Below are 15,142 nucleotides of genomic sequence, written 5' to 3'. Positions count from 1 at the left end.
TATTTAAAAAGAGCCTTATATATAAAATTATTTGCAATCATCTCAAAATTGCATTTTGTGATTAGTAAATTTGAAACTGTTGAGGCCTAAAATTTTTTCTGTATATTTTATTTTTATTTATTGATATATAATAGATGTACAGAAACCTAAAATTAACTCTTTTCTATAGACAATATTTTAACTGAGCAGAAATATACTCTCAATAGACACTGAGGCACCTAGAAAACCCACAGAAAAAAAATATTCCAGATATGGAATATTCTCAATTCCAATTTTGTTGTTTCAGTGTTTAAATATTTTACCCCAACTATTGCTACTGTCTTTTTGTCTCCATTGAGAATTTTCTTTTGTCTCCATTGAGAATTTTCTTCTAAAATGTTTGTTGAGAAAAGCTTTTCTCTATTTATGAGTCTTATGAAATTTCATTAGTTATGCATGCTGCAAAATCATAGGCTTTCTCCCTTTTATCTCATTCCCATAATTTTCTTCCCATAAATATTATTTTCCCATAAAATATTTTTCCCATAAAATATTATTCCCATAAATATCCCATTTAAATAGTTTAGGCCAAGTATTGCTACTGTCGTTTTGTCTCCATTGATAATTTTCTTTTGTCGCCATTGAGAATTTTCTTCTAAAATATTTGTTAAGAAAAGCTTTTCTCTATTTAAAAGTCTTACTAAATCTCATTAGTTGTGCATGCTGCAAAATCATAGGCTTTCTCCCTTTTATCTCATTCCCATAAAGAATATAAATTGATCTAATTAAACATTATAGCTCCATCAAAATGTTCTTCCCAGAAGTCAAGACACAATTATAAAATTTCAGAATTAAATTATGTACCTTATTTAAGCACTTGTTTAGTTTGGATTAGTTTTTTCCTTGCTTATGTAGGATAAATTTAATCTTCCTGTTGGGAAAAAAAAAAACTCTACAGGCCAGGAGATAACTGGTTAATATATCAAGTGCCAAATATTTTTCTGACCACCATCTCAAAGGCAAAATAGCCATCCTGTCCACAAAACATGATGTTATCACTCTTCACACTGTCCTTGAAAGAGAGGTATTACATTGAGTCTGGAAAGGGCTGTGAAGAGAGAATTATCATTAGTCATGCTTTCAGATATAAATGTGTATTAAAGTGAGAACTCTGTTATTGCATGTGACTCTCACACATTACCAGAAAAGAACAAGGCAGAAAGTGGGCATACCAAGAGGGTGTCTAGCAAATCCACACAGGTGTATTCTAATGCAAAGATAAATAATAATAAATTGTTAAAAAAAAAAACACAGAAATCTGGGACAAATGCAAAACAAGACAAGACACTGATATAACAAGCATAAATTTTGGCTACATTTTTCATCAGTCATGATAGTCATCCTACTCAGAGAAGAATTTTCAGAAAGCTTGATGCCCTAAATTAGCAAGTGAGAGTGGTAAAAATAGAGCCAGAAATTTTTGAAATATTGTTTTCTAATCTTATCTGTGACTGGCAAGGTTAGGGACAGCTTGAATTGAAGTATATTAATGAAATATTTTCTAGTTATGCCTGAAAAATAAGCACTAAATTAAGTTAAAGTGCATTCTTAAAAAATTCTCCCTAAAGATAATAGCTCTCCAAAGAAGCAAATTTTCTAATCCAACATTTGCAGAATAGTTATATAATGCTTGGGGTGCTGTTGTAAATTTCCTAATACTGTGGTAATCAGGATCTGCACAAATCCTCCTCTCTCTGAGTATGGATATAAACTGAATCATTTTCCACCCACCCAGAAGAAAAAATATAAATCTAGTACAGAGAGATGCAACTATTGCCCCAGAATCAGCAAACAGCTTTTGGGGCTGGTGCTCTTGTCCTAACCCTCTTGCTTCTCTTGGCTTTAGTAATTCTATTGAACTTGGAGTATGCAAACAAGGACCTTGATGCATAGAGTTCCCATGAACTCCCACCCACCTGCCAATAGGCAGTTATTTCCCTAAAAATAGTCATGTTCTTCCCAACATATTCAACAACTTACTCATCTTGAAAGGTTTCCTTGCAAGATGAGAGGGTCTGTAGCTGCTCTTCCTTCATCAGACTCCCCTTCAGCCTCTTCTGGAGACTCTGGACCACAGGCAGCCATATGCTCAATGGGCATCTGTATTATCTCCACAACTAGGCTATAAACTCTTATAGATAGTTCCAATGTCTTCTACTTTGTCCTCTCTTCTGTCACCCAATCCTTTCCCCTTAAGCAAAGCGAGTACTCAATAAATTCTCTTGAGTGCAGTTAATCATTTGAAGAATCTTGCTAAGGAATTGAAGCTTAATCTCACTTTAAAAGAAGAAATGAAAATAATTTGGTGGTATATTTTTTATCTGAAGTTAAAGGGATATAATACCATAAAATAACAATAAAGTCAAACTACAGGAAAGAAGAAAGGAAGAAAAGACCGCAAAACAACCAGAAAACAAATAACAAAATGGCAATAGTAAGTCCTTACTTATAAATAATCATGTTGAATGTAAATGGACTAACCTCTCCAATCAAAAGATGTAGAGTGGCTGAATGGATTACAAAACAAGACCCAACAATATGTTGCCTATAAGAAACACACATCACCTATAAAGACACACATATACTGAAAATAAAGGGATGGAAAAAAATATTCCATGCCAAAGGAAACCAAAAAAGAGAGGAGTAACTATACTTATATAAGACAAAACAGATTTCAAGACAAAAACTATAAAAAAAGACAAAGAAGGTTATAACACAATGATAAAGGGGTCAATTCAGCAAGAGGATATAACAAGGAATTAATAACTATAATATATAATGAGTTCAAAAAACTTAATAGGGAAAAATCTAATAACACAATTTTTAAATGGGCAAAAGATATGATAGATATTTCTCAAAAGAAGACATATGAAAAGCAAACAAGTATATGAAAAGATGCTCAAAATAATTGATCATCAGAGATATGCAAATCAAAACCATGATGAGATATCATCTTACCCCAGTTAAAATGGCTTTTATCCAAAAGACAGGTAATAACAAGTGCTGGTGAGAATATGGAGTAAAGGGAAACCTCATACATTGTTGGTGGGAATATAAATTAGTAAGCCACTATGGAGAGAAGTATGAAGGTTCTTTTAAAAACTAAAACTAAAGCTATCATATGATCCAGCGATCCCAGTGCTGGGTATATACCCATAAGAAAGGAAATCAGTATACCAACTAGTTATCTATACTCCCATGCTTATTGCAGCACTTCACAATAGCCAAGATTTGGAAGCAACCTAAGTGTCCATCAACAGATGAGTGGATAAAGAAAATGTGGTACATTGTATTAGTCCATTCTAATGCTGCTGATAAAGATATACTTGAGACTGGGTAATTTATAAAGAAAAAGATTTAATGGACTCATAGTTCCACGTGGCTGGGGAGGCCTCACAATCATGGCAGAAGATGAAAGGCATGTCTTACATGATGGCAGGAAAGACAGAAGGAAAGCCAAGTGAAAGGGGAAACTCCTTATAAAAACTATCAGATCTTGTGAGACTTATTCACTACCATGAGAACAGTAAGGTGAAAACTGCCTCCCATGATTCAATTATCTCCCAGTGGGTCCCTCCTACAACATATAGGAATTATGGGAGCTACAATTCAAGATGAGATTTGGGTGGGGACACAACCAAACCATATCATGCATATACACAATGGAGTACTATTGAACCATAAAAAGAATGGGATCCTGTTATTTGCAACATGGATGCAAGTGGAGGTCATGGTGTTAAGTGAAGTGAGGTACAGAAAGACAACTTTCACATGTTTTCACTCACTTGTGGGGACTAATTAAAACAATTGAACTTATGGAGATAGAAAGTGGAATGATGTTTACCAGAGGCTGGGAAGGCCAGCAGGGGAGGAGGTGAAAGTGGGGATGGTTAATGGGTGCAAAATACAGTTACACAGAATGAATGGAATCTAGTGTTTCATAGTACAATGGATGACTATAGTCAAAAATAATTGTATATTTTAAAATAACTAAAAGAGTATAATTGGAATGTTTGTAACACAAAGAAATGATAAATGCTTGAGGTGATGGATACCTCATTTATCCTGAAATGATTATTATGCATTGTATGCCTGCATCAAAATATCTCATGTACCCCATAAATATTTACTACTATGTACCCATGAAAATTAAAGATAAAAATTAAAAAAAAAAATAAAATAAAATAACATGAAGAATAATAAAGTCTTTTCTAATCCAAAATAAATCAAATTAAAATAGCTCTGTGCATTTCTAAATAAAAAGAAAAAGATCTGCTTTTGGCAGAAGATCTAGATTAAGGAGTTCCAGTGGGAAAAACTACAATCTCTTCAAAGATGTTTTCTTTCATGTTACTGGAACTTATCTATTTTATTTTCAAATTATACTTCATTTAATTATTTGTTTTAATTTGTACTTTTTGTTGTTACATAGTAGGTATATGTATTTATAGGGTAAATAAGATATTTTGATACAGGCATAGATGCATAATAATCACATCAGTGTAAATGGGGTATCCATCACAACTTCTATGTTCACTCACATTCCTGGGGCTCTACCATCATCAGGTGGTAAGGTCAGCCAGGCTAGTGTCCTTCCCTTTCGAACAGCAAGTTCCCCAGTCCTGGGTGGATCCAGAGACACCATCTGGGAGCCAGGGCCTGGAGTCAGAAACCTTAAGAAACTACCTGGTGCTCTATTTTACTGCAGCTGTGCTAGCACCTAAGCCATAAGACAAAGTCCTTCCCACTCTTCCCTCCTCTTTCCACAAGAGGTGAATCCCCATGGCCCCTACCACTTCAGGCCCTCAGCAAGTACTTGCCTAACTACTGCCAATGTTCATTCAAGCCACAAGGGCTCTTCAGTCAGCTACAGGTAAATGCTTCCAGGCCTGGGACTCTCCCTGCAAGGTAATGGGCTCCCCTCTGGATCAGGGCAGGTCCAGTAATGCTTCTCAAGAGCCAAGGCCTGAAATCAGAGATCCCAAAATCCCCATTGGTGCTCTACCCCACTGTAGCCAAGCTGGTACCTGGTACCTAGGCTGCAAGACAAAATCCCCTTTATTCTTCCTTATCCTTTTCTCAAAAAGAAGTCCCTCCCTCTAGGCACCACAGCTGGGAACATGCAGTGTCACACCGGAAACCAACACATATCTGAGTCTCACCCAGGGCCAAGGCAAGTATTGCCTGGATACCATCACTGATTATTCAGGGCCCAAGGGCTCTTTAGTAAGCAGTTGATGAATCCTGCTAGGACTGGGTCCTTCCCTTCAAGGCAGTGGGTTTCCTTCTGTCCCAGGGTGTGTCTAGAATGTCATTTGGGAGCTAGGGCCTAGAATGGGGGCCTCAGGACTCTGCCTGTTACCCTATCCTACTGTAGCTGAGCTGGTACCCCAGCTGCAAGACAAAGTCCTCTTTATTCTGTCCTTTCCCCTCCTCAAACAGAGAGAAGGAGTATCTCCTGGAGCTGAGAGCTGTGCTGCCTGAAGTTGGAGGAAGGGTGGTGCAAGCACTCACTTGGCCACTCCAGCTGGCATCTCACTAGGTCCTGTGCCCTCCAAGTCCACTGGCTGCAAGCCCAGCACAGCCCCAGGACTTGCCCAGGAATTGCAGTACTTGTGGCCTAGACTGTTTTTCAAGTTTATTTAGAACTCCAGAGCACTTTAGCCCGCAGTGGCAAGGCTTGACAGAACTCAGGTTCTTACAGTTGGGATAGGCGAGTCCCCTGTATCTAGGGCTGGTCTAAATCTCCTTCCATGGGCACCAGCTGAGCTCTGTCTAGGGTTGGTTCCACTATGACAGGGCAGCACTGAGTTCCAATGCAAAGTCCCATCATCACTTTGCTCTTTCTCCCCAAAGCACACAGATTCTTTCTGTGCACTACGTGGCCATTACCAGAGGATGGGGAAAGGATGGCATCAGCAATTCAAGACTGTCTTTCCTATCCCCTTCAGTGCCTCCTTCTATAATATGAAGTTAAAACCAGGTGGCCGGGCACAGTGGCTCACGCCTGTAATCCCAGCACTTTGAGAGGCCGAGGCAGGAAGATCATGAGGTCAGGATATCGAGACCATCCTGGCTAACACAGCGAAACCCCATCTCCATTAAAAATACAAAAAAATTAGCCAGGCATGTTGGCGGGCGCCTGTAGTCCCAGCTACTCGGGAGGCTGAGGCAGGAGAATGGCATGAACCCGGGAGGCGGAGCCTGCAGTGAGCCGAGATCGCGCTACTGCACTTCAGCCTAGGCAACAGGAGACTCCGTCTCAAAAAAAAAAAAAAAAGAAAAGAAAAGAGAAAAACAGGTACTGTAATCATTCACCTGATTTTTGTTCTGATGAAGGTGCTTTTTGGTGCAGATAGTTGTTTAATTGGTGTTCTTTCAGGGAGAATGATCTGTGGAGGCTTTTATTCAGCCATCTGTTCTACCTTTGGATCAGGTAATCATACCTCATTTAATTTAAAAGTAACATTCCACTTTAAAAAGATTTTCATATCATAAATTATATTTCAAAACTATATTCTTAATTTAATTCTGCTATATCCTTATAGAAAATTAATATAAATATAATTAGGATGTAAATGAGAGAACTCAGACCCACACATCAAAAGATGACTGCCTTGATCGACTACTGAAATGCTAAAACATAGTCAAATGCAATTGTGTAGGAGATATTCCTTACTCTGGTAGAAATATAATAGTATTCCAGACACCTGATCTGAATTCTGGTATTGATTTGAGATACTAAGTCAATTTACCCAGAAAGAGTAAACATCTTCTGAGGCCAGAAAATACAATATACTTATCACAACTTATTTGTATTGATTACTTGTAAGCCTGCTCTCAAGTTCTAAACTTCTCATGCCTGCTTATTGTCAAATACAACTGCTAAGAAAGTTTGAACTATGAGCATTTCTTGCTAGGAAAGCTCTCCTCTGGTTAATAAACAATCACTATAATCACAGCTTCAGATAGTGCTCATATCTTAGAGATCCTTAGAAGTTAATTTTCTCAATTTGTTCACTCATTCATTTAAATATATTTAGTTTAAGTAAACAAACATGACTTAATCTTAGATTTTGCACTTGGGCTATTTATAAACTAGTTTGATGAAAAGTAGATCTAAGTAGATATTAACATAAAGTGTAAAGTGGTAATTATAAATTTAACACTTTCAGCAACGATAACCAACTTTTGATTAGATTATGCTGTATTTAACTAATTCTTCTCAAAGCATCAAATTACTCTTCAAATTTTTATTGTTATTACTATAGTCTAATTTAAGAAATTAGTCTCAGTAGCATCAAAATCATACTAGTTTAGCAAATGATTTCTATAATGCCCTATTATTATGGTTGCAATTCAGTGAGTTCAATGTAAGTAGTGCTTTGCCAGAACTGGAACCACTGTGCTTTTTAATAATTTCGGAAACTCAGGTAAGCTATCATTATAATTTTTGTTTTGTTTTGTTGCTTTGATCTTTCAACAAAAAACAATCATTCAAAGTTTAGAAATTAAGATTGAGATACATCATAAACATTGATAATAAAAGTTCAAATGAGTAATAGTGTCAAAAACCAAGCTATATTTAAACATTTATTTTATTTATTATTTAATTATTTAAAGTAAATAAATAATACACAATTGCATTTCTTTACTAAGAAAAATGAAACCATACAGATGGAACTATGTTTCCTCTTACCACCACTAAAACCTAGTACTCATCCCATACCTATGAGATTTAACAAAAGTTATAGTACAGGTCACTGCAGCACCTTCACTAATCATTACGACATTTCTGTAATAGTGAAAAAATGAAAACATTGCTTCTAAACTTAAGAACTGAAAATCAAAATACATAATACTCATCCTGGGCATGCTCTATAGCAAAGGCATTGATTGAGAAAGGTTTATGCTAATATGATGGAAAACACCCATAATTTCCATTGTAAAATTTTAAACATCAGTTGGACGGTAGGTACTATAATAGGCTGAATAATGGTTCTAAATATAAATATTCCTAATCCCTGAAGCCTCTAAATATTACCTTGTTTGAAAAAAAGCTTTTGGCATATGTGCTTACTTAAGTGTCAAGAGATGGAGAGATTATCCTGGATCGTCTGGGAGGTATTAAATAAAGTCATAAGTATCATTATATGAGAGAGGAGAGGGAGATTTTGACACAGACACGCAGAAGAGAAAGCAATGTGAAGACAGAGAGATTTGAAGGTGCTATTCTTGCAGACTGAAGTGATGTGGCCATAACCCAAGGAATATTAGCAGCCACCAAAAGCCAGAAGAGACAAGGAATGGATTCTTCTATAGAGCCTTCAGAGAACAATGTGCTGCTGACACCTTGGTTTCAGCCCAGTGATACCCATTTTGAACTTCTGGCCCCCAAAACTGGGAGGAAATAATTATTTCTTGTTTTAAGCTACCAAGTTTGTGGTAATTTGTTATAGTGGCCATAGGAAACTGATACAGGTACATATGATACCATTTATATTAAAATATACACAAAGACCAATACCGTATATTTATATTTCCTACAGAGCTACTGCAATTTAAACTTTCAGTGAGCTTAAACTTCAGCAAGTTAGGAAGTTGTAAGGTTACTTTCTATTTTGAAAGTTTAAAGTATTTTATGTAAAATGTCTAAAATTGTGGCCATAATTGCTTCTGATAATTTTTTTCTTTAAGAAATAAAATGCTATAGAGAGAACTGAAGCTCTCAACATAACCCAATTCAATCTCATTCTCTTTTCTTCCCCCTACACTAACGCTGCTATCTTAAAATAAAAGTTGGTATAATTCCTATGCATAATTTTATTCATGAAGATATAGCATTGTGTAAATGTATTACATTACCTATTTTATTCTGGAACTTGTATTTTTTCCTTGACATTGGTATTTTATTGTATAAATACTCCATAATATACTTTCATTCATTCTCCTTTTGATGAATGTTTCTCCTTTCCCCAACCTTTTGCTACTAGTAATGTTACAATGAATTTTGTTGCACATATCTCCTGGTGCACAGGTGCAATAATTTCCCTAGAGTATATATTTAGAAATAGAATGTCTGGGTCCTTGATTGTATGCATCTTTAACCTTACCAGATATTACCAAATTGTTCTTCAAAGAAACCAAGATGGCCTTAACATTCTCTTTAGTTTGACTCAACTTTAGATAGGTTTCTTCCTGACTGTAGGCCCCTGACTTCCCTTTTCTTAGAGCATTTACTTCAGAAAATTTGTAATTGCAAATTATTTCTCTGCCCCTTAGAGAAGTAAATCTTCTTAAAATCCTCTTGTTTTATAACCCCAGAATGCCAGTTTTGCATCTCAGGAAAGTCTTCCTCAAGGACCTAGCAACATCCCCTTTGAAAAGTAATTATCAAGAATGGCAACACCCCAATATTCTGGTTTCTGTGGGAGGGTAAGAGCCTAACTTCAATAAGCAACAATTAGCAAACAGAGATGGCCTAATCACATTGACCAACCTCTCCTCTAAAGCCTTCCAGAACTTTTTCCATGAGCTCAGCTCAAAGCTTAAAATCCCTCTCACTTTTTGTTAAAGTGGAATTGACTTCAATCTCTCTTCCCTATCATAACAGTTTTGAATAAAGTCTTTGTTCAATTTATCCACTAAAATTTTTCATAGGCTAAAATACTGCAATAGTTATTACTATCAATTTATAAAATTCATTAGCAGTATTCAAGAGTTCCTATTTCTTGACATGATTATCAATACATCATAAGCTCAATCTTTTTAATTTTTGCCAATTTTATATGTGCGCAATAGTATCTCATTTGAATATCACTGATTATCAATGAGTTTATTATCTTTTCAAATGTTCATTAGAGGTTCAATTTTTCTCCTCTATGAAATCCCTATTTATATGCTATGCCCATTTTACATGTTGTTTCTTTCCTTTATTGATTTGTAGTTCTTTATTTTTCCTGAATACTAATCCTTAAAGGTTACTAGTCTCAAATATGATCAGATCTAGCCTGATTTGATTACTAGATCTGTCCTAGTCTCAATATAATCCCTCAGCAGAAATTCCAAAATGCCAATATAAGACCTTGTTATGTAGACTATAGGTGCCAGGATTTAGGTAGCAGCAACATAAAATCACTAGTTCAAGTTCTTAGGGAAAATAACTGCCAGTCTATAAATATATACCCTGCTAAAAATTATCCTTCAAAAGTGAAGTCATAATAAAGATGTGAGTTATGGTGGTTATTTTCCTATTTTTGGTACTTATCTATTTTAATAAACCAGCAATTATTATGCTACAAATTCTTTACAACTCAGATTCCATTGGCATTTTGCAGTTTATATGACATAAACTGCATGAGTCATGTTATAGAGGAAAATATATTTAAGGAAAAAAGCAAAAAACGGCAGATAGGACGCAGGACTAACTTGCAGCTTCCACTCAGATGGACAGAACAGCATATGGAGATTCACATAATAAACATTTGCTCCAAGAACCACCACAGGAACATACCAGGAAAACTGAAAGATTCACAGACCCTTTGAAAGAAGTAGCTTGCCACTGCAAACTCTGTGAGACAGCCAAAAAACTGTGAGTGCCCAAAGTGTGAAAGTATGAAAGTCCACCTCCCAACACACATCCTCACTGGGGAACCTGAAAATCTAGATCACAGAAGAAGGATTTAACCTTACCTAGAGCTGAAACAAAGTTAGAGAGTTGAGTGAAATATAAAAGTACAAGAAGCAGCAGGAAGAGCCCTACAGGCACTCCCAGTCCCCAGAAAAACCCAGCGAAGCCATTTCTGACTTTTTCTCACAGGGGTCCTTGGGGAGGGCAGCCAGGGTAACTAGGGAATGACCACAGGGAGAAGGAGACTTCCAGCTGAACTTTGTAATAATTTTGACCAAGCACAAATTTTCCCAGGCAGAATCCAGGGGGGCAGTGAATGGGAAGTGCAGAGTCAAGCACAGAAGCCATGGCAGGCAGGGAGGGGCATGGCCTGAAAGCCCTGCTTGCTTTCTCAGCAGGGAGGCTGGTAGCCTGGGGCAAGATCACAGCCCTGCATATCAGAAGCCTGGATATAAATTCAGCTCTGTTGGCTATTGGGGAAGCATGGCAGAAGTGAGACTAGCCTTACTGGCTGCATGGAAGCTAAGTGAGGCCTCTCAGTGCCAGCTTTCACCTACTTCCCTGGAAACCTGTACAAAGCAGCAGAGGCAGCCATAATCTCCCCTGGAACATAACTCCATTGGCCTGAGAACCAGCCCGCATCCCCCACAGTGGCCACAACAAGCCCCACCCAAGGAGAGTCTTAACTCAGACATGCCTAATATGCCACCACCTGATGGTCTTTCTCTACCCACTCTGGTAGGCAAAAACAAAACATAGAAATTTGTGGGAGCTCTGTGGCCCCATTCATCACCTGAGTGATAGGACAAGAGTATGGCCATCTTAACAAGACTCCATCACCTTAAAGTATCAAGTTTCCCTTTCTCAGAACTGTCTGTTGCCACCTGACCAAACCGCAAAGTCAGCCCCACCTATATCTTTAATAGAGCAGAACAACCCTAACTAAGCTTATTAAAGTCCCTAGCAGTCACAACCAGCCAGCACTCCCCTAACCCCTCCCTGATAGGAACCTCTACCAGGGCAAGGGAGTTTAAAAGGGTAACAGTATGCTGAATGGAGAGTTCCTCCAAAGAGGAACAGAGTAGTAGATCATTAACATATTGGAGGAGGGTGCTAGGGTTAGCCAACACTTAGAGAGGTTTGCTTGAAGGGCCTGTCCAAAAAAGTGAGGGCTGTCCCTGAAACCCTGGGGGAGGACAGTCCATGTGAGCTGTTGGGAGAGGTTGGTGTCTGGATCCGTTCAGGTGAAACAAATTTTAAGAGAAGGGTGTAGAGGTATAGTAAAAAAAAGGCATCTTTGAGGTCTAGTACTGAAAAATGGCTGGTATGAGGGGGGATTCTGGAGAGAAGTGTATAGGGATTAAGACGACTCGGTGTGCGGGAATGACAGAAGAACTGATTTGATGAAGGTCCTGGAGGAGCCAGTAGGACCCATCTGGTTTTTGGACCAGAAGAACAGGGGTGTTATGAAGGGAGTGGGTTGGAATGAGGACACTGGCAGTTAACAGTCGGGAGATGATGGGCTTGAGTCCTTGAAACCATCAGGGCTGAGGAAATACTGTTGGACAGTGATGTACGAGAAGGATACTTTAATGAAATTTTGATTGGGGAGTGGTGGGCCACCAAGAATGGAGAATTTTATCCCAAACAATGGGATGGGTTTGAGTTATAGTGCTAAAGCCAGGTGTTGGCCCTGTAACTTTGGATGGGGGGTGGTTTCAGTTCCTAGCACAAAAGTAGGTAGGGATGGCTTTGGCCAAGAGCTGAAAGGTGGAGGAAGCCACTCAATTTGTGCATCAGCTCAGGCATTGGTTTAGAAGCTAGGGGACTAGCCACTTCACTCTCATATTTTAAGGCTCTCTCCACAGACCTATAAGAATCCTTGGTAGATATAGCCAAGGACCTTGTAAGAATTCAAGACCTGCTAGACTCCCTAGCTGGAGTAGTCCTCTAAAACTGGAGAGGACTCAACCTCCTTACAGCAGAGGAGGTCTCTGCCTCTCCATACAGGAAGAATGCTGCTTCTATCTCAACCAGTCAGGCTTGGTAAGGGATGCCAGCTCAAAACTTAAGAAAAGAGTTAAAAGAATTAGGGAGCAACAAGAAAACCAAATCAGTTCCTAGTTAAATGTTCCTTACCAACAGAATTACAGCCATCTCACAAGCTGCCACCCCAGAACACCTGAAGACGGTGCTACTCCTCCAGTCAATCCAGAACCAACAATCTCATGGCCCCCTTTCAGCAGGAAGTAGCCAGAAAAAGTACACTGGCCCATCTCCTTATCTAACCATAGAGTCCAGATTGATAGGACAAGAGTACTGCCATCTTAACGAGACTCCACCACCTTAAAGTATCAAGTTTCTCAGAACTGGCCATTGCCACCTGACCAAACTGCAAAAGTCAGCCCCATCTATATCTTTAACAGCACATAACCACCCTAACCAAGCTTATCAAAGTCCCCAGCAGTCCCAACCAGCCAGCATTCCTCTAACCCCTCCCCAATAAGGAACCTCTCTCAGAGCCCCAATAGGAACCTCTCTCAGAAAACACTTCCCCCACTAGTACGTTTTTAAAAAGCCTCAGGCTGTAAAAAAAAGTTTTCTCCTGACCCTGCCAGCCAGAAGCCCTTCTGAGGTTTACTCTCAATAAACCTGTCTCAACTGATAAGCCATTTTCTTGTTTTGTCTTCTTTCTCATCTCTCCCCATGCTCTAACCCTGAGAAAACCAAATACTTATCCAGATGACCTAAGGCCAAGCTTGTATTCTCCCTATGCTACCACAGCTGATGCTCACTTGAAAGCGCCACCTACTGGCTGGAGGCTAACCAACTCAAGCTATTACAATAACTCAGAACAACCCTGCTCCAAGGAAGGAGAAAACAACAGCTAATCCCACCACCTACAGCATCCTGGCTACTCGGAGATCCTTAACCAGAGGTCCTGAGTCTGTCCACATGACAACCTCACTGCTAGCATAAGCAGCATTCAAGAAAACCAGTGCATTAAACTACAACCAAGGACTCTCAGAGAGTCCACTTCACTCCCCTGCTACCTCCACCAGTGCAGGTTGCTGGCACCCATTGCTGACAGACCTGAAGACAGATCATATCATAGAACTCTTTGCAGAAACTCCTTAGTATCAGCCCAGAAGCTGGTAGCTCTGCTGAGTGGCTAGACCCAGAAGAGCAATAACAATCACTGCAGTCTGGCTTGGCTCTCAGGAAGCCCATCCCTAGGGGAAGGGGGAGACGACTACATCAAGGGATGACCCTATGGGACAAAAGAATCTGAACAGTGGCCCTTGAGTCCCAAATCTTTTCTCTGACATAGTCTACCCAAATGAGAAGAAACCAGAAAAACAATTCTGGTAATATGACAAAACAAGTTTCTACAACTCTCCTGAAAGATTACACTAGCTCACCAGCAATGGATCCAAACCAAGAAGAAATCTCTGAATTGCCAGGAAAAGAATTCAGAAAATTGATTATTAAGCTACTTAAGATGGCATCAGAAAGGTGAAAAACAATTTAAAGAAATTTTTAAAATAATACAGGATATGGACCAAAAAATCTCCAGATAAAGAGATATTATAAATAAAAAATAATCACAACTTCTGCACATCAAAGACACACCTAAAGAAATGCAAAATACCCTGGAAAGATTTAACCATATAATTGAACAAGTAGAAGAAAGAACTTCAGAGCATGGAGACAAGGCTTTTGAATTAACCCAATCCAACAAAGAAAAAAAATTTTTTTTAACGAAAAAAGCCTCCAAGAAGTTTGAGATTATGTTAAATGATCAAACCTAAGAATAATTGGTGTCGCTGAGGAAGAAGACAAATCTAAAAGTTTGGAAAACTTATTTGAGGAAATAATCGAGGAAAACTCTGGCCTTGCTAGAGATCTAGACATCCAAATACAAGAAGCTCAAAAAGTACCAGGGACATTTGTTGCAAAAAGATCATCACCTAGGCACATAGTCGTCAGGTTATCTAAAGTCAAGATGAAGGAAAGAATCTTAAGAGCTATGAGGCAAAAGCATCAGGTAACCTATAAAGGAAAACCTATAAGATTAACAGCAGATTTCTCAGTAGAAATCCTACAAGCTAGAAGGGATTGGGATCCTATCTTTAGCCTTCTTAAACAAAACAACTATGAGTGAAGAATTTTATATCCAGTGAAACTAAGTTCATAAATGAAGGAAAGATAGCCTTTTCTGACAAATAAATGCTGAGAAAATTTGCTACTACCAAGCCAGCACCACAAGTACTGCTAAAAGGACTTCAAACCAAAGAACAAACCAAACCCAAACCCAGCAGAGGAAAATAAATAATAAATATCAGAGCAGAGCTAAAACCAAAAAAAACACGACATATAAATTTTTAAAAAGCTGGTTCTCTGAAAACATAAACAAAATCAATAGACCATTAGAAAGATTAACAAAGAAAAGAAGAGAGAAGATCCAAATAA

At 38.3% G+C, this 15,142-nt stretch overlaps 1 long non-coding RNA gene across 3 annotated transcripts in view, besides 1 other annotated feature; it reads right to left on the bottom strand.

The window, feature by feature from the left end:
• Positions 1–15,142, bottom strand: part of LOC105370461 (uncharacterized) — a 433,650-nt gene that overhangs the window by 120,413 nt on the left and 298,095 nt on the right. The gene's annotated exons all lie outside the window — the stretch shown is intronic.
• Positions 10,804–11,337: an enhancer, noted in NCBI's record as "NANOG hESC enhancer chr14:40203453-40203986 (GRCh37/hg19 assembly coordinates)". NCBI's record gives its function as "activates a minimal SCP1, AML or CMV promoter by ChIP-STARR-seq in primed H9 embryonic stem cells {active_cell/tissue: H9 hESC(primed)}" and the evidence as "EXISTENCE:reporter gene assay evidence [ECO:0000049][PMID:30033119]".

This window comes from Homo sapiens, chromosome 14 (genome assembly GCF_000001405.40).
Source record: "Homo sapiens chromosome 14, GRCh38.p14 Primary Assembly".
Lineage (NCBI taxonomy): Eukaryota > Metazoa > Chordata > Mammalia > Primates > Hominidae > Homo > Homo sapiens.
Note: the sequence above shows the minus strand (reverse complement) of the source record. Positions and strands in the feature narration are given on the sequence as shown.